The sequence below is a fragment of the Homo sapiens genome, chromosome 9 (genome assembly GCF_000001405.40).
Source record: "Homo sapiens chromosome 9, GRCh38.p14 Primary Assembly".
Classification (NCBI taxonomy): Eukaryota; Metazoa; Chordata; class Mammalia; order Primates; family Hominidae; genus Homo; species Homo sapiens.
In genome coordinates this window covers 87,232,897-87,256,805 of record NC_000009.12, presented here as the reverse complement: position 1 = coordinate 87,256,805, position 23,909 = coordinate 87,232,897, and the positions used below count along the sequence as shown (strand labels likewise).

The following is a 23,909-nucleotide window of genomic DNA, read 5'->3' as shown; positions in this document are numbered from 1 at the left end:
AGATCCTTTCTCACTGAATGGAGAGATGGGGTGGTTACTAAAAATCACAACGTTACTAGTAGTTAACGTTGGAGCTTCCTAGATGCTCCCATGCTAATTTCCTTTGTATCCATTATTCCATTTAATCCCCACGACAAATCTGTAACTTGTTACTATTTATTATCCTCATTTTACAGAGTAGGGAATGTAGGCAGTGAGAGGTTAACTAACCTCCTACAATCACACAGATATTAACTGATGGAGCCAGGGTCCTCTTAGAAGCCAGTCTGCTTTTAGAACTGGAGCCTTAGTGCTGGAGGGGCTGGGTGGGTAAGCAGGGAATAGGAGCAGAAAGACAAATGTCACAGCTTACCTAACATCATCTACCAGACAAATTGTTTATATTTAACGGAATCAGGCAGCTTCCACTGAGGGCTTTTGTGTTCCATCTTTTTTGTCATTGTATTTTAAACTCTTACTGTTGGCATCCAAGCGGATCAAAGCCAGGTAGACATCAAGCAGGAGGGCCTTGAGACAGGAGGATGCGGGGAGAAGAGAAGTGAAAAACATGTTTTCCTCTAACCCCGAAGAGTGTCTCCCTGCCTCCTGCCTTCCGTAGCTTCCTTCACCCTTGGGTGGAGATTGTGGAAATCCCTACACAGATACTTATTGCTTAGATTTGTTTTCACGAACAAAAGCAAGATGGCGAGTTTGGTCACTTGAGTTTTATCATGTCCTACACGGATGTGGGCAAAGAGGATTGTGGAATTAAGCTGAGACTTTAGAAAGCCCTTTCTATGAGAATGTTTTGACATCTGCCAATATACAAACAGAAACCTATGCAATGGCAATCACTGCTTCCTGCTGTTTCTGTAGTTATGCTGAGGGAAGCAGAGAGATGCTGATGTCTGCCAGAAGACTGTTAAGAGGAAATTCACACTGAAAGCAGCAGTGATAAGGACGTCTCTTCCCCTGTTTATTAGAAACAAAACGTATAAGAGAATTCTCCTCTGGAGGCAAGTTGTCGGTGTTTTTAGTTCTCATAGCTATATGGTTGCTAACACAACTAATGACAATCAAGACTTGGCTTGGTTTAACTGTTTTTGAAGACTGCAAATTCCTGCCATGTAGATCTGGCCATTGCTTGGAAGCAGCCTGAAAAGTTGCCATATGCACTGTTAGAGCTGCTGTTCCTGGAACTGTTAGGTCTCCATGTGAATTCCAAAATAATCTGTAGCATTTCACTGCTGGGAAGAAGCTCGGAGCTCTTGTTACAGATGGGCGTGACCCTAAATGTCCCAGTGCTTAGTTGACAACAGAGCTGGACCTAGATCGATGCTGTGTCTAACCCGTGCCTTCTCTCACCTCGGAGGTGATGCTTGACCTTGACTGTCAGGCTCCATCCTGTCAGGAGGAAGGATGGGAGCCCCTGCCCAATCATTGTGATCCTCAGACAGCTTTGACTAAATGATCCCCTATGTGCTATGCCGAATGCCTGATGGGCTCTATTTTGCCCAGGCGCTCCTTTCCACTCAGAAGCACTCTCTGGCTCTAATTTTAGTCTTGTAGGCTGCTGTGGACACACAAGTATTCACCACAGACTGAGCTAGAATTGAGCAAAAACTCCCATGGGGAAAATGGTCCTGTCTTGTCACCAATTCCCTGAGTCCTTCTGTTGCTGTCTATGTTCTTACTTATTTATTTAACTTTAATTGAATCTCATGAAGAGAAGCATCACTGTGCTATGGTGAAGGGAAGTGTCTCCGGAGTTCCGTTGCTTGGGTCTGAATCTAGGTTCAGCAATTTAACAGCAAGTTCCTTAGGAAAGTCCCTGAAACTCTCTATGCCTCAGATTTCCTCATCTATAAATCAGGATAATAATAGGAACCACCTTAAAGAAATCTCTGTGTACAAAATGAGATAAACATAAATAAAGTACTTAGAGCAGTCCCTGGCACAGAGTAAACATTCACTTTATGTTAATTATTATTATAGAAGTTATATAGACTATACATAGAGTACAAGTGCTTGAGCCTCTTTTCTGATGTGAATTTGGCTATTTATTTGGCTGTGGTATAACTACCTATACATATATCAAAAATGAATGAATGCCAGGCATCTGAGAGCATGCTTTCTCATTAAATTCCTCCATTCATTCACTCATACATTCGCACAACACCTATGCTCTGTGGCAGCCACTGTTAGGCTTTGAAGGCCTGAGAAAGAGCAAAATAGATGCTTCTCTGCACTCAGAGTTCACAGTCCAAAAGGGAAGATAGATAACAAGAAAACAATTACACCTTTTTTAAAAAATTAAATACTTGGGTAATTTCTATAAAGGAGGCAGGAAAAGGCTCAGGACAGTGCTAAGGTCTTCAGACCTGCTTCAGCCTGGGGCCGGGGAGGCTCAGGGGGGCTGACCTGTTGCTGTGTTCTGTCTGAGGGTAAGGCAGGACCTGTGGCATTTATCCATTGATCAATCAGACCCACTAAGGTCTTGGCCTTAGTAAACGTTCAGTAAACAGGGAGATATTGGTAGATTCATTGAATCTCATCCTTGAGTGGAAACTTCTGCTTCATCTGCTTTCAACTTTCTCCCACACTCCTTCACAGCCAGACAGCCCCAGATTTGGCCACTGCTGATTGCAGAGCAAGAATGCCCTCCAGCCCTCCACCTGGCCACACCTACTCAGGCAGGTTTAAGGGTCCCCTCTCACCTCTCAGGGCTGCCATTTCTCTATCCTCTGTCCCCAGCATGATCGATCATTGCCTCCTCTTGTGCCCACAGTAGGTTGCATTGACCTGGCATCTCTATCATAGCATTTTCCACATGACCTGAGAGGGGATGAGGGGTCTCTGCTAGATTTCACTATGGATGGGCTGTGTCTTATGTTTTGGTTATCTTGCTGCGTTACAAAGCACCCCAGAAGTTAATGGTTTAAAACCACAACCATGTAATAGCTCATAATTCTGGAGGTCAAGAATTCAGGTGAAGCCAGTGGTACAGCTCACCTCTGCTCCACTTGGTGTTGCCTGAGGTGGCTCAGCTGGGGCTGGAGGTGTCAACATAGCTTCATTCACATGTCTTGGTCCTGGCTGTTGGCCAGGACATCTCAGTTCTCCTCCATGCAGCGTGATATGGTTTGGCTCTGTGTCCCCACTGAAATCTCATCTTGAATTGTACTCCCACAATTCTCACATGTTGTTGGAGATCATTTGAATCGCGCAGGTGATTTCCTCCATACTGTTTTCATGGTAGTGAACAAGTGTCACGAGATCTGATGGTTTTATCTGGGGTTTCCGCTTTTGCCTCTTTCTCATTTTCTCTTGCTGCCACTGTGTAAGAAGTGCCTTTTGCTGCTCGCCATGATTCTGAGACCTCCCCAGCCATGTGGAACTGTAAGTCTAATTAAACTTCTTTTTCTTCCCAGTCACTTGTATGTCTTTATCAGCAGCATGAACACGGACTAATACACAGCCTCTGTCTCCAGCAGTGTCTTCATTCAACAGTCTACCTAGAGTTTTGTTATATGGCAGCTGGTTCCTAAAGAGGTGAAAATGGAAATTGCAAGCTTGCTTAAGGCCTAGCTAAGAAGTCACATATTGATACCTCAGCGAAAGCAAGACACAGGGCCACCTAGATTCAAGGAGAAGTGACATAGACTCCACCTTTTGACTGCAGGAATGACAAAGTCTCACTGCAGAAAAGGTTGAAGGAGGGGTGGATTACTGCAGCCACCTTTGGTAACATCTTATTTCTTTCTTTCTTTTTTTTTTTTTTGAGATGGAGTGTTGCTCTGTTGCCCAGGCTGGACTGCAGTGGTGCGATCTTGGCTCACTGCAAGCTCCACCTCTCAGGTTCACACGACTCTCCTCTCTCAGCCTCCCAAGTAGCTGGGACTACAGGCGCCTGCTACCACGCCTGGCTAATTTTTTGTATTTTTTTAGTAGAGATGGGGTTTCACCATGTTGGCCAGGATGGTCTTGATCTCCTGACCTCGTGATCTGCCCACCTTGGCCTCCCAAAGTGCTGGGATTACAGGCGTGAGCCACAGCGCCTGGCTGACATCTTATTTATTTCTAACAGTTAGCACACCCCTGGAACATAATAGTTACTCAATAGTAGTAAGATCTAGCATTTAATATCCTTCTTTTTTTCTAAGCATTTTACATGCATTATCTCATGGAATCCTCGTTACGCTTGGAGGTATTATTATTCCCATTTCACAGAGCAAATTGAAGCTTGGAAATATTAATCTAATTCTAGCTAATTAGCATTAGCTAATCTAATTCCAGTCTAGTTCTAGCTCCACAGTTTACTAGCTAAATAATCTTGGATAAATTGTCCAAGATTATTTAGCTAGTAAAGTGTGGAACTAGAATTCAGACTCAGGCAGCCTGGCTCCAGAGGTTAAGCATGTAAAGCCTCTACTGAAAGATCAGGTTTTTTGTAGTTTACTCCTCCATGGGATTATTGTATCACCATTATAGTCCTGTGGCTGCTTCTGCTGATTCCTTGTTCAGACCTGAGGGAGAGATATTGTACCTGATAGACTGAATTCCTTTGAAACCGGAAGGGACATGAACATACCCCGCAGGCTGGGCTCTAGCTGTGAACCTACTCCCAGCAACTCTTACCCTCTTGGGAGGGAAATACCTCTGGTGGCAGACGCCCTGCAATGGGTTGCCAAATGATTCTCAGTGATGTGTTGCCAACTGGTGGTGGAATTTTCACGTTTTGGTGAGATTTCTATAAAGTTTATGTTTATTCACTTAAAAGTTGTAAGATTTTGTCCTTCCTACTTTTTTGGGACTCATATTTCATTTTATGAAACTTTTTTTTTTTGAGACAGAGTCTCACTCTGTCACCCACGTTGGAATGCGGTGGCGCAATCTTGGCTCACTGCAACTTCCGCCTCCCGGGTTCAAGCAATTCTTGAACCTCAGGCTCCTGGGTAGTTGGGATTACAGACTTGTGCCACTATGCCAGTCTAATTTTTTTTTTTTTTGTATTTTTAGTAAAAGACGGGATTTTGCCATGTTGGCCAGGCTGGTCTTGAACACCTGGCCTCATGTGATCCACCAGCCTCAGCCTCCCAAAGTGCTGGAATTACAGACGTGGACCACCATGCCTGGCCCATTTTATGAAATGTTTTTGAGAGTGGATTGTAGATGTTTTTGAGTGAAGACACCTGGCAATCAAAATGTTGGCAGCCCTGTGTTCATTGCCAAAGTATGCCAACGTTAACATTCTCCTGGTTCTTTGAAATCCCAGAGTCTGAGAACCTCTGCTCCAGCAGAAAATGGGGGCAAGGTGATGGGGCGGTTAAGAACGAGGTGCGGAGGGGTAACACTGACTCTCACCACCAACCCGAGGACATTCGGAATATCACATTGTCTTTTTTCTTACTATTCTTTAGACTTGCTGTTACACGAGCAAGTTAGTGTTGACCATTGGATGGCATTATTTATAGAAAATGATTTCTCAGAAGAAGGTCCGTCATATTGTAAGTGCACAATAAAGGTGGAAGAGCACCATTATGGAACCCTATGAAATTCCTACATGTGATGAAGACTGACATTCTTAGAACTTTTTTTTTTTTTTTTTTTTGAGACGGAGTCTCGCTCTGTTTCCCAGGCTGGAGTGCAGTGGCGCATTCTCGGCCCACTGAAGCCTCCATCTACCGGGTTCAAGTGATTCTCACGCTTCGGCCTCTTGAGTAGCTGGGACTACAAGTGCGCCCCAGCATGCCCAGCTAATTTTTGTATTTTTAGTAGAGATGGGGTTTCACCATGTTGGCCAAGCTGGTCTTGAATTCCTGACCCCAAGTAATCTGCCCACCTCCACCTCTCAAAGTGCTGGGATTACAGGCACGAGTCACCACACCCAGCCTTAGAACTAATTTTTTCTAACTGCCCCGGCCAAGCAATTAACGTTCCAAAACCAGCTCCGTGAGGACAGAGATGTGGAGATGCAGAAATACCAGTGCTAGCTGAGAGCCCTGCGGATTTTCAAAACAAAGTCAAGTTATCAGAATAACAGGTCTTTTCTTTCCAAATCCTCAAGCCAGCTGAGGAATTATCCCTTGGTTCTCAAGAGTCCTGGGTAAAATATTTGAATTATGGCCAAATGCCACTCTTTTAAAGAGATAAATGAAAAACAAAATTATATCAGGTAAAGAATTTAAGAGTCTTAAATTGCATCTAGCAGAGGGGATTCTGGGAAGATGGCAGTGAGTAAACACCTCAGATGCCCTCCTTGTCTTACCTCTTCCCATCACTTACCATCTCTCCTGGGCTTGCATGTGGGCAGGACTGGAAGGGTATGATCTTCCATATTGACTCTGCCAGGAGCCAGAGGAGGCCAAGCAGGTGCAGAAATTTGCACCACTGGGTAGGAGTCTAGACATCCAGGGGAGGGCAGTATACCTCCGCATCCCCAGAGATCTGTGGCCCACAGACAGTATGTTGTGCCTCCCTTGTGCATAGTCCTAAGAGGACCTCTAGGCACCCCCCAGGTGTTGGAACTATGGGGGAAGCTGCCTAGTGTGCTAAGTTCCTACCTTCCCCTGAGCCTGGTTGAAGGCAGATCTTTCTGCTGAGCATTCCTGGGGAAAGAGAAGCTTTCTTCTGGTGCTACACAGAGACTGACACTCTGCCAGCAGGAACTTGCACCTCCAACTACTCATCAGGTTGCTACTGCTTAAGGTTCCCCATCCATCTGACCTGAGCCCTGAGATCGAAGGGAAACAGAAGCAGCAAAGAAAATCAGCAAGAACAAGGTGAAGTCCAAGTACAAGTGACTGGAGGAGTCAAATAAATCACAACTTGATCGATGAAAATAACACAAAATGAGACACTATGGAGTAAGAAAACTAATTTTTAAATGTAAATATTCAGTAGATCAGTGAAAGAAGAACAATGCTGTTAAGAAAAAAAAAGTATTGGCCTTCAGGATGAAATAAAAGAAAGACTTCAAAACAAAGAGCAAGGGGACATAAAGAAGTACAATTAAATTAGTAATAAAAATGTCATTGAGGCCAGGTGTGGTGGCTCACACATGTAATCCAATCGCTTTGGGAGACTGAGGCAGGAGAATTGCTTGAGGCCAGGAGTTCGAGACCAGCCTGGGCAACATAGCAAGACCCTATCACTACAAGATTGAAAAAATATTAGATGGACATGGTGGTGTGTGTCTGTAGTCCCAGCTACTTAGGAGGATGATATGGGAGAATCCCTTGAGTATAGGAGTTTGAGGCTGCAGTGAGCTATAATTGTGCCACTGTACTCTAACCTTGGGGACAGAACAAGATCCTGTCTCAAAAAAAGTCATTGATCAGTAATGTAAAGAAAACGATGCCTTACTGGACTTGAGTTAGTTGATGCAGTACTCAACTCTTGGTGTGTCAGGTAAGTGATAGTGTGTGCAGCAGACTTCCTGAGAACAGGGAAGGATATTGTAGTGCTAACCGTAACTCAGATATCATGGTGGTTATCTCAGAGCAAGAATGTATCAATCACTCCACGCTAGAAACAAGTATGCAAAGGAGACAGGAGACAAGTATGCAAAGACAGGCATTGCTCCTTTTTCATGTTTGATCTTGTTATTCTTTTTACTGGTATGGCAGGCTGTGCCCACTGACAGACATGAGCAAAATGTTCTGGCTTGATGCCAAGAAGAGGGAAACGTTGGCTAGGTATTAAAGAACCTTTTAAACAATGAACTGTTGAAAAACTAGAATGTATCATCTAAGCTGCTGGTTGAGATACCATCCCTTTCAATGTTCAAAGGAAGAACTGAAAACATTGAGCACAGTCAATGGCTTCAGAATGCCAGCTGCCAAGGTCATAAGCGCCCTTGCTTGGAAAATAATACACTCCCTGAATGTGACTTCGGCAGTTTTTTTCAGTGTTGCATTGGCTCACTGCAAAACTTATTAGCATATCATCAGCCATTTGACCGAGCTATGAATTTTCTTAAATTTAATTTTTGCAGTGGTTACTTGTGATAGAGCTTTGAGGTATATCTCTCCAGAAAGGATTGTGTGTATATATAATATGTACATATGAAGAAGGGTGCATATGGGTATTGTGGAAGAGACTACTAGCTGTCCACCACACTTATTCTGCCCATCTTTATACCAGTAAGTCCATAGTTCCCATCTTTCCTGCATTGAGATGTGGCCATGTGACTCAGAGCTCTCTATGGAATAGGAACAGAACAAATATGCACCATATTTAAACTTGATCCATAAAATCTTCACATTGACGCGTCTTCAAACCCCTTTTCATGCCTGCTGGCTGGATGCAAATGACTCTGAGGCCTTAAGAGAAGCCAGGACTGTAACGTGGAAGGAACTTGAGTTCCTAAATGCTCAGGTGGAGGAGAGCTGTGCACCAGAACCATCCGTGTTTCCTGTTACATCTGCAAGAACCAAGTATTGTTGTGTAAAGTCATTGATAATTTAGTGCTTATTTGTTATAGCAGCTAGTGATGGCCAAAATAAGATGGAAACTGTTGAACTGGCCATTGAATGTGCCTCACAGAAATTTTGTCTTGAAACACTTTGAAAATATTTTCCAAACACACATATTAATTATATGCTGTCTAAAAATAGGCTGCACTTTTTTTTCCAAGTGTGTCTTTGCACTCTCACATTCCTGTCCCCTCCCAAGACTTGATAGAATCAAGCAATTAGTTGGAAAGCAACTTTTCATATCTCATTTAACCGTCAACATTTAAATACCTGCCACATATGAGACCTGTGCTGAACTGTGGGATATAGATGTGGTCCTTGTTCTCTGCCTGCTTTCATGGGACTCCAACCTAACATTTTTCTGTGACATATACCCAGATAAGTGTCAACTTTGAACACCTTTAATGATAGAGGACCCTATTCCCTCAATAGTTACCCATTTGACTGTGAAGTAACTATAATAAGAATATCTTCCTGATAGTAATCCAGCAGAAATATCTGCTAATCGGACCCACTCCTAAGAGACATCCAAAAGTTTAAAACATTTTTCTTCCCATTAAGATTTCTCTTCTTCAGGGTAAACATATGGAGATCTTCCCCTCATTCCCAGTTGAACTTGGGTTTGAGGGCCTTCCCCACCTCCTGCAGGAATGGTCAGAATATTCCTGCCTACTATTTTATTTGAATCAATTACTTTTATACACTAGTGTCCCAGAAGGCCAGGGGACAGTCTCTCCCACCACGTTTCTTCTGCCCTAGCCTAGACCTCACCTCTCAGTCCTGGGCCACTACTAGCTCTTTTATTTTATTATTTTTTTTAATGTTTCTTCCCAATCCCTTTTTTTCCTCCAATTATTGACTCATCTTTCCCTAACAAATTAAATTTCCAAAAGCCTGAATTTCATAGTCTTACTCCTATCAATGGCTTACCCAGGTGCTGATTTTAACATGTAACTCGCATATATAAAACCTTGCAGTGGCCTTTTTTAGCCTGTACAGCTTTAAGTCTGGATTCTGTTCTCATTGTCCAGTGTCCCCCTGGGCATTGTAAGGAGGGGCTTTGTCCTGAAGACTGTGCCAAGCCTGCCATGGAGCTTGGATTTTGTTCCCCCAGCCTGTACTTCCTACTGAGGAAGGGAGTGTTCTGGGGGTAGACGCAGAGTCCCGGGTAAGAGAATCAATAGGGTCAACAGCACACGTCTCGAAGCATCAGTTTTTACTTGGAAATGTAGGCAAGGAGCTTTCCTTTAATATTATATAAAATTGCATAAAACGGTATCTCGTAATGTTCACACTAATATTTAACGTGGAGTGAGAGAATTTAGAGAGCATTTATTTTTGAGGAGGGCTGATTCAAGCCCTATCCCAGTTATATATTCATTCCTTTATGTCTTTGGATATTTGAAAGCTGCAGCTGTGTTCTTCAAACTGCAGGTCATGATCCATTTGTGAATTTATGAAATAAATTCTGTTCCAAAAAATGTGGAACAGAACAGAATAGAATAGACTTGCTCAGACAACCAGAGTTCATAGGTGCGTGTGGTTCAGAGTTGTTTGATTCAGTGACTCAGAAATGTTCTTAGGAACTCAGGTTCCTTCTGTCATCCTAAATTTGGTTGGATGTTCTAGTTTTGTTTTGGTTTTGGAGGAGATCTGCTAGGCCTCAGGACCATCTGGGTTTTCTGTGTTGCAAACAGAGAGCAGGGACCACATCTGTATCACAAGGTTCAGCACAGGCCCCAGATGTGGTAGGTATTCAAATACTGTTGTTTAAATGAGTTATGCCCAAGGTGTCTTTCTTTCTTGTTTTTTTTTTTGAGATGGAGTTTTGCTCTTGTTGCCCAGGCTGGAGTGCCATGGTGCGATCTCAGCTCATGCCAACCTCCGCCTCAAGGGTTCAAGTGATTCTCCTGCCTCAGCCTCCCAAGTAGCTGGGATTACAGGTATGTGCCACCGCGCCTGGCTAATTTTGTATTTTTAGTAGAGGCAGGGTTTCTCCATGTTGGCCAGGCTGGTCTCAAACTCCTGACCTCAGGTGATCTGCCCACCTCGGCCTCCCAAAGTGCTGGGATTACAGGCGTGAACCACTGCGCCCAGCCCAAGGTGTCTTTCCAACTAACTATTTGATTATTCTCTAAAGTCTTAGGAGAGGACAGGGATGTGAGAGTGCAAAGACACACTGGATATAAAAAGCACAGCCTACTTTTAGACCAACATATTAATTGTTTGGAAAATAGTTTCAAATGTTTCAAGACAAAGTTTCTACGGAGCATATACAATGGCCAGTTCAACAGTCCCTACCTCAGTTAAGATACTACTAACTGCTGTAACAAATAAGCACGAAACTGTCAATGATTTGAAGCAATCATTGTTTTGGCATTATCCTAAGGCTAGTTTCCTTCATTTTATTAACATGCTCTATACCAACTTATTTGCCCAACAGGAGAGAAATCTTGGCTTCTCGATTTTCTTTTAAGATTAAGGAATACCTTCTTAGGGTTTGTTTTAAAGAACTGGGTCTCAGTCAGTGCTACTCTTGAGCTCAGAGAAATTTCCTCAACAGGGAATGGAAGTGGTGGACATTGTGGAGTCACACCTGTCTGCTACAGCTAGCGAGGCTGTGTTATGCAGTATAGATTAGGGAGCAAGGCTAGAGAGAAGGGAACCATTTAAAAGGTCGTGGGTGTCTCCCTCCCAGGCTTGTCTACCTCCTGTTTATCCTTCAAAGCCTACTGATAACCCACTTTCTCAGTAAGATCTTGTCAAGTCACATCACTTCAGCTTGCACTGCTCCTACTGTCTCTGAATTTTGTTTACTATCTGAGCCATGCCCTTTGAACGCGTCTGTGTCCTAGCCCTTTAGGGTTTACATTTCTATTTTAAGATACATGATTGCACAAGTGATGTGGTCTACTTCCCTATACCTCAGACAGTGCCGGATCAGGCTGTTTTGATTGGGCTGATTGATTCTGGTGGATTATCTTTTCTGATACTGGAAGAATGTTAGAAACTTGACAGACTTGATTTTCTCTGTTTGAGGATTTGGGAGGACCGTGGAAAACTTAGCTCCTCCAGGTAACTTCTTCTAAGGGTGGACATCATTATGAGCAAGCTGGTCTTTGAGTTTAAGCAACATAAACACTTCTATCCCTTTTTTTGGTCATGATTGTTAATAGGTAAAATTTCTCCCAGTTATTCTGGAAGATGAGGATTCCATCTAATACATTTGATAGAGATAATGAATGAAGAATAATGTGGTATTTGTTTGGAATGTACAATTACAGATACTACCAACTAAGATATTAGAAGGTATTATAGGAATCATGAACATATTAAATGTTCATTTCCTATGATAAAATAGCCCTATGCAATAGTGTTTACTAGGACAATAGTGTTTACTAGGACCTGAAATCTTAACACTAATACTCTACTTAAAGTAAGACCTCTATGAGCCCTACTTCAATCTGCTGCAATTCCAAGTTCTAACAAAGTGAAGACACTTGGTGTTCAGGGAATTAATGATTTCCCCTGTGAGGAGTTTTAATCAGGAGATCTTGCCTTTGCACTCATGTGTGAACTAAAGTTCAATGCTGCTTCCTCCCTAATCCTTTACAGCCCTTGCTTTGATCAAAGTAAGCTTATATGAGTTCCAAAGATGGGTTCTGTAGAAAGGAAAGAAAATGTCTTAATTACTTATTTACCAGGAACTGTCAATTAATCCAATCAAGTTTGTGGGAATTTTGTTGCTTAGCTAAATGTCAAAAGGGAGACATTTTTAACAGAAAGGTGTTAGATGCGGCCCAGGCACTTGACTCAATTGGTGTATTAGTTGGAAATATATTTATCTACATTTATTTATCTATTTTAATTTTATCCCAAAGTCAAAGATCATATGTTTTTCTAACTGATTAGTGAATGAAGGGAACAAATAAAATAGAGCATGAAATGTGTTACATTTTGTATTCCATACTTCCTTGACAGATGGTTCTTTTGAATGAGAGAGAGATAGAGAGAGAGAGAGGTTGACTCAGTGGATGCCATTTGATATAAACCCAATTCCACTTCGGTAAGTCAGAAAGATAGGGAATACAGGGAACACCTGAAAAAATAACAGTTGCTACATTTATTGAACACATAGTCTTTGCTAAGCACTTACTTGCACTGACTCTGTTAATGTAAGAACTCTTAAGAGCCATCCATATCAGTATGCTTGGAATATTCCAGAATAAATATGTCCCTTAATTTATTTAATCTTTCCCACTGTTAAACATTTTAATGTTTTCCTAATTTCATTATTATACACAATGATAAACATTTTAGTGTTTTCTAAGTTTCATTATTACACACTAAATTTCATTATTACACACACAGTTAATAATGAAATAAATTTCATTATTACACACTAATTTCATTATTACACACTCTAAAATTTCATTACACACAGTGATAAACATTTTAGTGTTTTCTAAATTTCATTATTACACACTCGGCTGTCATAAGCATTCTTGTTCATGTCTGCAGGAGTTATCCTGGGACAGATACTGAGAAATGGAGTTGCTGCGTCATAAGACATGTGGTTTTAAACATTTCAAGACACACAGCCAAGCTGTAGTCCTCACCACATTATTGTCTAGGTTTTCCTCAATCACATTTAAAACTTTTTTTTTCCAATTCAGTCAATAAATTGCTGTCTCATCATTGCTCCTAGAGATATGGTAGACTAATATTTTGGAGAAATTCTAGAACAACATACTTTTGAGTGTTGGATAATGTATTATAACAAACAAAACCAAAAATCTCTTTTTTAATGGAGGACTGAACTGCCAAGAAAATCAGAAAATTCCTTGGAGACTAGAAACCAAAGGAATATATGAACCATAGGATAGGTTAGCTTGTATTTTCTCTGGGTATATTTCTCAGTCATAGGTGACCTCTGGCCTGGGTTTTAATGGGTCATATGCTCAGGAACCAGGCAAAAAAGAAAAGATGAGACTCTTTTTCAGTCAGAAAACACTAAAAGGTCACTCTTTTATGTGATAACTAGAAAAAAAAGAATCCTGGCCCAGCAGAGGGAGATGTTAGGGAAACTTCCTGTTTTGGTGTTAGGTAAAATGGAAAATAATTACATTTTAAAATTTCTATGAATCCATGGAAAATTAAAAGGATGATAAGGGAATACAACAAAGAACACTACAGTTACAAGTAATGTAGATGAAATGAACCAAGTCTTCGCAAACCACAAAGCACCAAAACTCACTTAAGATAAAATAGATAATCTGTAACTATTAAATAAAGTGAATTCATAGCTCAAAACCTTCTAAAACATAAATTTTCAGGACCAGATGGGTTCACTGTTGGTTTCTTCCAAACATTAAAGAAGTGACACAAATTTTCTAATTTCTTCCAGAAAATAGAAGAAGAGGGAATACATTCCAATTCATTTTATGGTGCCGGGCTTACTTTAATGCCAAAAGTAGACAAAGACAGTACTGAGAAAGAAAACCACAGGCCAATATCTTTATGGAATATGAATGCAAAACCACTTAGCCACTTAACAAACTATTAGTGAATCAAATTTAGCAATATATAAACAGAATAAAGCATCACAACCAAGTGGGGTTTATGCCAGAAATGCAAGGCTAGTTCAATACTTGAAAATTAATAAAATCTACCATAGTAACAGTATAAAGGACAAAATTCAATGATTATATCAATTAATGAAGGACAAAAACATTTAACAAACTTCAATATCCATTTATGATTTAAATCTCTCAATATACTAGGAACAGAAAAGAGGTAGGAAATGCAAGAAGAAATGCTGAGCAGAAAGCAAAATGTTCAATGTCTGGATAAAACTAAATAATCACTGGCTAAAACAGTGATAATAATGTCTAATTTGTGGATTAACAGTTCAAGATGGCACTAAATTGTAGAACAATAATTCTATATAAATTAGGAGCAGAGGGATTGTAATGAGAGCATACTAAATTTCTTGTATGACTGAGATGTTAATAAACTTAGATTTTGTGAAGTCAAACATTCATGTTAAAATTTCTAGAGCAGTCACTGAAAGTATAACAGCAAAGTGTATAATTTATATATTAGTGCAAGAGAACAAGGAGATAAGGAGAAAAACAATCTAAAAAAACCTCAAGGAAGGCAAGGCAGGCAATGATAATAATAGAAACAAAACAGCTATCAAAAAATCACTTTAAAAAAGAAAAATAAAATAAATGTTATAGAAATAACAATCTTCAAAATATGATTACAGAAATGTGTCTTAGTCAGGGGCTAGGTTGTACTGGGGCCGTAAACCACCACTATATATCTCACTGGGACCAGGTCCTAATAACAAATATTTATTTCTTGCTCATTCTTCATGTCCATACTGTGGGTTCAGTTTGGTCCCAGGCTCCCAGAGCAGCCTCTGTCCCGACATTGTCAGTTTTTGTGGCAGAGGAAAAGGAAATGAGGCAAAGCATTGCACCTGCCACCTCACTTCTCCCACTTTCCACTGGCAAGTTACATGGCACTGCTTCAGGTGGGTGAGGTATTCTCTCCTTCAGAGAATCTTCCTTCAAGGATGGAAAACAGAATTTTTGGTGAATCCAATCTACCACACAATAAAGCCAAACACGTCAGAAATCATATTGAATGTAAACGTATTAAACTCTCCATTTAAAACAGAAAGATCACTAGAAGTATTTTTTTTGTTGTTGTTGTTGCTTTTTTGAGATAGAGTCTGGCTCTGTCGCCCAGGCTGGAGTGCAGTGACGCGTTCTCGGCTCACTGCAAGCTCCGCCTCCTGGGTTCACGCCATTCTCCCGTCTCAGCCTTCCGAGTAGCTGGGACTACAGGCGCCCGCTACGACGCCCGGCTCATTTTTTGTATTTTTAGTAGAGACGAGGTATCACCGTGTTAACCAGGATGGTCTTGATCTCACTAGAAGTATTTTTAAAAAGTAACTTCTATATCTTTTATAAAAGTTCCACCTGTAACAAAAGCACACAGAAAGAGAGTCATAAGATGAAGAAAAAAATTAGTTACAGATGAATAGCAACCAAAAAAACAAATAAAACAGAACAAAACAAAAAAACAATCTGGAATGGCCGTATTAACATGAATCTAAACAGATCTGAGGGCAAGAAATATTAGCAAAGAGTCACTGTGCTTTGACAAAGATTAAATTTTAAATAGTATGGTCTTAATTATGTACATTAAAATACTTAATGCTGGTGGTCCCAGCTACTCAGGAGGCTGAGGTGGGAGGATTGTAAGCCCGGGAGGTGGAGGTTGCAGTGAGCCAAGATATATTTGGCAAATAATTTCAATTTTTGCAGTATTATGAAGGACTGCAAGGGCCTGAACTTGCCTGGAGCACCAGGAAAGGTCTCTGTGTGACGTAACAGGTTGAGTCTGAGGAAGCAAGGGGAGCAGAGGTGGGAAGAATAGAGGGCTCTTGACTGAGAGGAGAACGAACTTAAAAGATCTGAGAACCTAGGGCATAGCCATGTGTATGTGCACAATATAAGGTTGAAGTGGGAGAGATAAAGGGAAGAGAGGCACAAGATAAACGGAAACAGTGGCAAGGCCATATCAGGCAGGGTCTTGTGGTCCATGTTTATTTTCATTTTTTTTTTTTTGAGAAGGAGTCTTGCTCTGTCGCCCAGGCTGGAGTGCAGTGGTGTGATCTTGGCTCACTGCAACTTCCGCCTCCTGGGTTTAAGCGATTCACCTGCCTCAGCCTCCTAAGTAGCTGAGATTACAGGTGCCCGCCACCCCACCAGGCTAATTTTTGTATTTTTAGTAGAGAAGAAGTTTCGCCACGGAGGCCAGGCTGGTTTCGACCTCCTGACCTCAGGTGATCCACCCGCCTCAGCTTCCCAAAGTGCTGGGATTACAGGCATGAGCCACTGCACCCGGGCTCCATGTTTATTTTGAACCTTACCCAAGAGTGATAGGAAACCTTTTATTTCTAAATCAGAGGAAAGAGATGATCAGATTGACAATTTTCAAACAGCACTTTAGGTGACATGTGGGGAGCAGAGAAGGCATGAGTGGACGTGGGGACAACACATACCCCTTTTTCCATTGCCGTTCTATTTCCATGTGCTCTCTTTTCCATTGCATTAGATGTATTTTCCTAATTTCATTTTATCTAGAAAAGTAAAGGAGCTTTAAATATACATACAGTTATGTATAAATAACATAATACTGGTATTAATAATAATGACAATGCTAGCTACTATTTAAAGAACACTTACCACATACCAGAAGTAGTTCTAAACACTTTACGTGTATTAGTCCTTTTAACCCTCTGTCTCATGAGGTGGATAGTATTGGGACCCTTGTTTTACAGGAGGAAGTTCATTGCTTGGAGGTAACTCTGGGCATTTTGTCTCTACAGTCTCTGCTCTTAACCATCACACTAGATTGACTAGAATTGGGAGAAATAAGAGAACAACTGTTCGAATGCACTTATTCGAAACCATTCTCAAACTCAGCAAAGACCCAATGGACATAAAATGCTGCTCTGGTGTAACCACAGAGGTCAGGTGAGAGGATGACCTAGGTCCAGTGCTGGCCCAGCCTGCATGGCCGACTTAGCGCTGAGATACTACCGTGATCAGCAGACAGCCTCTTTAATACACTGGAACAAGGATTGAAGCAGACTTGAGAGGAGGTTTGTTTTTGAGTCTAGTTGTGTCTAGGAATATCAGATTATCTATTATCTTTCCTTGACTGTACCAAATGTTGATCTGGCCTAGAATGTTGTCCACTCAGTTCCTTCAACCATTCGGATGCCTGCTGGGCATGACTCCAGGGACTGAGGCCAATGCTGAGATTGTGTAGATAATTTCCCTGATAGCCATGGTTTAGACACTCATCAAATCACAGACCTGCAAATACACTGGGTGTACACAGAGGTGTACACACATTTACTCACTTAAATGACCCTACTCCTTCTGTGAACAAGGTTTCCCTAAGGCTTTGGAAGCCTCTGTCCTTTGGGAAGAGCTGTCTAAAGTCACTTCCCAGGAAGTTAAGAAACTGTTTGTGTTTATAGCCACTGCACTGTAGTCTACACACCCACTGAGTGTCTGCACAGGATCTGTGAGGTTCCATAAAGCTAGGGGGGTTCGCTGTGAGAAACTTTAGGCTGGGGTGGCTTCAGGCAGAAAGCACACTGTAAACATGGAAGTGGGGGCACTTCTTGAGGTGGCTGTTGTTTTAACATGTCCTTTGTTAATGTGGCTCCTTTTCATTCTCTGTTATTTTTCACTTCTCTCTTTCCATTGTCAGCAGGGCTACGGTCAGGGTCCTTTCTATGAACTGACTCAGATTAGCGTTGGCATCAGCCATGCTGTCTGTTGTGATTCCAAGTACACAATGATCATTGATGGGAGGCCAATGGCTTAGAAATGGATGGCCAGGAAAAATAATTACAGAGCACACTGAGCAATGTTGTTCCATTTCCCTTGTATGGATCTGTGAAGTACAAGTGGCTCTGTCTTTCTCCGAATGTCGTATGATGCATATACTAGGAGTGTGTGATCATTGCTTTGTTAGTCATTTCTTCTGTTTTTGCTAGGACTTTCAGTTCGGCAATTTCATTCAGTCCAATAATCAGTTAATTCAGCTGCTGGCCACCCCAAGCTCCACATTGCCTTCCAAGACGTCACTCCACACATGAAATGGGATACAGTGTGCCAGGTCATTGCCAGTTCAACTGCAAGAGGAAACTAGAATTGACTGCATTGACTTTGATAGTAACTCATATTACACGTACCCTACAATCTGCAAAGCACTTTAAACATAGATTATTTCATTTTCTTCTCTAAAAACTATGAAGAATATTCCAGAAATTTTTCATAATGACTTTCTCTAGGGAGTAAGAGTGTGGGGGCTATTACGTGTATCTCAATTGTGTTATTTTTCTTGTGCACATGCAATCTGTTTGTATGTGAAAAAGAAAAAAGATTTAAGAATATCTACAGAGAAAGAATGGCAAAGAATATGTGGCAAGTGTAGCAACTGGCGATTCTGGCTATGGTATATGGAATTCTTTGAACTATTCTTGAAAACTTTCAGTAAGTTTGAAATTATATCAGGATAAAAAGTGAATGATGACATAAAAATATTAAAAGCATGTAATTCTTGGGTAATGCTTAAAATGGGTAATTCCAATAAATTTGCTTGGAATTTCCCTAGGAATCCCAATAAAGCTTAGAATGCAGGCTTTGCTTATAATCATAGATTAAAATATAATTGAGTACACTGTAGGCTGAAGGAGAAGTTATTGTATAGTTGAAGCATGACATGAGCTTTTACTGAAATATAAAATGAAGCAAATTCTTTGAATTTTCTTTGTGTTCAGGTGTGCAATTAGAGGGTGACTTACTGCTTTCTTTTGAACATAGTATATTCCATATGTTAGAAGGTGATAATTACATTGTTAGATACCTATTCTATTTTTTACATACTGTAAAATTCATCTGTTTTAAGTGTATAATTCAACTACTTTTTACTAAATTTATAGAGTTGTTCAACCGTCACCACAATCCAGTTTTAAAATGTTTCCATCACCCCAGAGGGATCCCTTGGGCCCACTTGCAGTAAATCCCTGTTCCCTCCCCAGATCTAGGCAAATGCACTCTCTGTCTTTATATATAATCTGCCTGTTCCAGACATTTTACACAAGCGGAATCTTGCAATATGCGGTTTTTCTCATCTGGCCTGTTTCACTTAGCAGAATGTTTTCGAGGTCCATCATGACTATTTTTTCTGGGATTTTTCCCTTGGCATAAGAAGTTACACAGAAAATAAGCAAATACCTTACATTTACTTCCAGGAATGCAGAAGGCAAGCCACTAATACATAGTGACAAGTCTCTCACGGCTGAATCTGCATTGGCAAGTGCCCAGCCTGAGAATTTTCCTTGTCCAGAAGGTATGTTATTTAAAAAAAATTAATAAAACAAAAAGTTGGTTGAGTGTCTGCTATACCTGCCAGAATCTGGGAAGTTGTCACTGCTCTAATTTCTTAATGATGCAGCAAAGACCTTGAGAGTACAATGATGGAGACCCATGTAATGCAGAAGAGGATGCACAACCCACAGGGAGTCTCCTGTTTTCTGGAATCTACATTTCTTTTTCTTTTTCTTTCTTTCTTTCTTTTTTTTTTTTTGAGATGGAGTCTCACTCTGTTGCCCAGGCTGGAGTGCAGTGGCACGGTCTCAGCTCAGTGCAACCTCAGCCTCCTGGATTCAAGCGATTCTCCTGCCTCGGCCTCCCAAGTAGCTGGGATTACAGGCGCCAGCCACCACATCTGGCTAATTTTTGTATTTTTAGGAGAGACCGGGTCTCACCATGTTGGCCAAGCTGGTCTCGAACTCCTGACCTCAAATGATTCACTTGCCTTTGCCTCCTAAAGTGCTGGGATTACAGGTATGAGCCACTGTGCCTGGCTGGAATCTACATTTCTTAGAATTATAAGCTCTCTTTCAAATGTGGGAGTTTGTGGGCACAAACCCATTAGCAACTTTATTCCGACAAGCAGCAGAGTGGAGGAATTACTGTTTCTACAATAAAAAATAATGCAATATCTGGGACCTGACTCAGATATCTGTCTCTGAATATGTTTACTCCAAGAACAGCAGAGTGACTCAAAAGACACATATGTTTTGTGATAATGTCTTCTGGTACCAAATGTGAGATGTAAGGGAATGCCTTGGTTTCAAGAGAATATCAGTTTCAGAAAATATTGTATTTGATATAAATGTATACTGCAGATATAAAGTGTTTGTTATTATTTTTTAGTAATTTAAAGCATCGAGTTTACCAGAAAATGGAAAAAAACACATTAGGTTAAAGAGCTGAGTGGGTTAATTTTTCTTATCAGTTCAGATAGTTTGAAAATGAATTTGCAATGCACACTCTTTTCCTTAAAACTTACCAAAGTTTTAAGGTGCGGTGGCTCACGCCTGTAATCCCAGCACTTTGGGAGGCCGAGGTAGGTGGATCACCTGAGGCCAGGAGTTTGAGACCAGCCTGGCCAACATGGTGAAACCCTATCTCTACTAAAAATAAAAAATTAGCCGGGTGTAGTGGCACGCACCTGTAGTCCCAGCTATTCAGGAGGCTGAGGCAGGAGAATCACTTGAACCCGGGAGGTGGAGGTTGCAGTGAGCTGAGATCGCGCCACTGCACTCCAGCCTGGGCGACAGAGTAAGACTCCATCTCAAAAAAAAAAAAAAAAAAAAATTACCAAAGAATTGTAATTTTTTTGTAAAGAATTACAAAACATCTTTCTACATATGTCTGTGTAATGTTTACCCTTTAGGAGCTCCTCGTTAAGCTGCAGGTAGAGGTAGAACAAAAATCTCCTACAAGCATTTGTTACAACAGCTTCCGCAGAACGGAAAGTGAGGTTGATTCAACAGTGCTCTGAAGGGGAGCCTGCGGTGTTATCCACTTGCGCTTGCCCTTTCTTACTTTTTGGAACTCTCTTTCAAATTCTCATGTCTCTGACTCAGTCATAAATGTCGTCTATGAAAGTGATGAGGTTTTCACGTCATGCCCGGTTCCTTTGCGGAGTCTGTTCTGTGGCTGTTTGCTTGCTTTATCCACATCACACCTTCTAACTAAGTTGCTTAGGCTGTCACAGCATCATCCAGTGGTCAATTTGCAGTCAGGCCTATGATACTAACATCGCGTGTCACATGTCTTCATACCTGACACATGCTGGTGTGATTTTCAACATGAGCTATTTCTAAAATTGTGCAGACAATTCTGTTGTCCAGATGTTCCGGGTTTTCAGATGCTGCAATAAAAGCTATTTTACCAAATCTTATTTTTGTTTATTTGTTTACTTGGGACACCCTGATTTAGGATAAAAAAAGGTTTGGTAAAAAAAAATTCCACAGCATTTTTCTCAGTGTTTAAGGAATTGTATGATTTTCAGGGATGGAAAAATATTAGTCGGCATCTCTTAAGATCAGGTGTCTGGGCTGCAGATCAGAAGATGTAGTAGACAAATACGTGAAGTTGCAAGTCAATGAGAATAATAATAAAGGCATCTATGTTCAGTACAACTCCAGTCCCAGCCACTGGGACCTGATCATTGTCTCTGATGTGATAAAATCCGCACAGGTGAAGCTGACAAGCAGATGTCGGGGTACCCATGGCATCCTCTGCTCCACCCCATGACTAGTGCCCCAAGAGACTGCAAGACACTGCGTTGAATTATTCTGTCATCCACTTGAAAAGCTGGCTTCCTTCCCCAAAGAAACAGTCCAGCAAAATAACACACACACACACACACACACATACACACACACACACACACAAAGCTGGAGTTCATTGCTGTGGGGGACTGAGTGAGCTAAGGGATTTTAGGAGTAGGCAAACTATCCTATTCCCTGAAGGCATCACAGGATGGAGAAATAATGTTATAAAAGGCCTAAAATTGAGACTAGAAACTTGACACCTTAGAACTTCTACCATGGAATCTAGACTCTTCCACAGAAATGGATGTGGATTGCACCTAGATTCCCTCTTAAGCTTCATCATTAACTTGGAATTAGGTCCTAGAGGAGTGGGGTGTAGCTCCTGGCCCCAATCTTGCAATGGGGATTAGGATCTTCTTCCCATTAGTTTTTTTTTTTTTTTTTAACTTTTTTTATTTTGAGACAGTCTTGCTCTGTCGCCCAAGCTGGAGTGCAGTGGTGCGATCTTGGCTCACTGCAACCTCTGCCTCCTGGGTTCAAGCATTTCTCCTGCCTCAGTACCCCTTCCTGAGTAGTTGGGATTACAGTTGTGAGCCACCATGCCCAACCTAGTTTTGTCATTTTTAATTTTAGAGTGTCCCTGCCCTCCTTTTGCCCATATTTAATTTTTTCTTTCTGCCAGTCACTCCTCGTATTTACGAATTGTAGAGAATTATGCAGATGTGCTGGGCCATCATCATATCAAAGCAGCATCAGCACTATCATTACCGTCATCGTCGTTTGTTGTTGTTGTTACTTCATGGTGACAAGAAACAGCACGTGAAACAGCAGTCACTGCACAAGTACTTAAGGCTTGGGAAGCGTAAACTTGCGGGCACCCTGAGTAAACAGATGGCATCTACGAGCAGATGTTTCTACATGTGCTTCCACGTGCATATTCCCTGTTCCCCCGACCTGTCCTCTTGGGGAAACACCCGGAAAAACTATTAGCACAAACACAGCGTTTCTATCCTGAGTCCGCTTCAAACAGGATCCAGCTTTCCATCGGAATGCAGCTGTTATGGCTAGCTGAAGCAAAATCAGTCACCCTGGAGATTCAGTGATGAAATAACTTTCTCAAATTTCTCTGAAGTTGATAAAATTGAAACTCATCCTGAATTGGAGGATTGATAGGACTGATGACAAGTCAGTGTGTGTATGAGAGAGAGTGATTATTATTCACTTTGGGTAAGATTATAAGGGATCGTAGAAACTTAGCGGGGTGATAGTTTGGAAGAAAAGTAAAGGGAGCTACAGTGTTGACTCAGAATGGTTACAAATTGAAAACTTTTTAAGTTTTTTAGTTGAGTGGCCTGATAAAATGTAAGTCTTAAGAATACTATTCTGAAAAAATGCACATAGAATGATTCCAAGAGAGAGGGATTGGAGAAAACCAACAATAATGCAATTGCCATACCATAGTCCAGATGAGAGGTTCAGAGCCGAAGGACAGTGACGGAAACAGCTGTGAGTGACATCAGAGGCAGAATAGAACAGCACTTTCACTAACTGGGCACGTGGATGACAACAGAGAGGAGTGCATATCATAAACTTTTGTGAAGTTTATGTAACAGAAATAAGGAAGCTAGAAGGTTTTATGATGGTGAGCTTTGTTTTGTTTATCTTGATTTGAAGGTGTTGAAAGAAATCCATCTAAAAATATCCCGCAGGCATTTGGAAATTAAGTTTGGAGATCAGGAGACATGTCAGGCCAGAAGGATGGTTTAGGGAGAAGTCTGTCTAGAGAAGATAGCTGAAGAACCAAGGACGCGGGGTCTTGCCAAGGAAGAGCACACAGAGTCAAAAGGAAGATACTGGCCTTGCCACCTGCCTCATTTAGGGGGCAGAGGGTAGAGCTATGCCAGCAAAGTGATGAAAAAGGAAAGGTCATTAAGTAGAAGCAGGAACTAGTAGAAGAGAGTGTCCAACCCCAGGACCATTGTCAATAATTCTACCTTGAATTTCTCTTGGGCTTTAGATTGTCGACTCGTGTATAGGCCGGGCATGGTGACTCATGCCTGTAATCCCAGAACTTTGGGAGGCCGAGGCGGGAGGATCACCTGAGATTGGGAGTTCAAGACCAGCCTGACCAATGTGGAGAAACCCTATCTCTACTAAAATAAACAAACAAACAAACAAACAAAAATTAGCCTGGCGTGGTGGAGCATGCCTGTAATCCAAACTAC

General features: G+C 41.3%; 1 long non-coding RNA gene across 5 annotated transcripts in view; it reads left to right on the top strand.

The window, feature by feature from the left end:
• The window catches only part of LOC105376126 (uncharacterized), a 103,060-nt gene that overhangs the window by 42,204 nt on the left and 36,947 nt on the right, over positions 1-23,909 (top strand). The gene's annotated exons all lie outside the window — the stretch shown is intronic.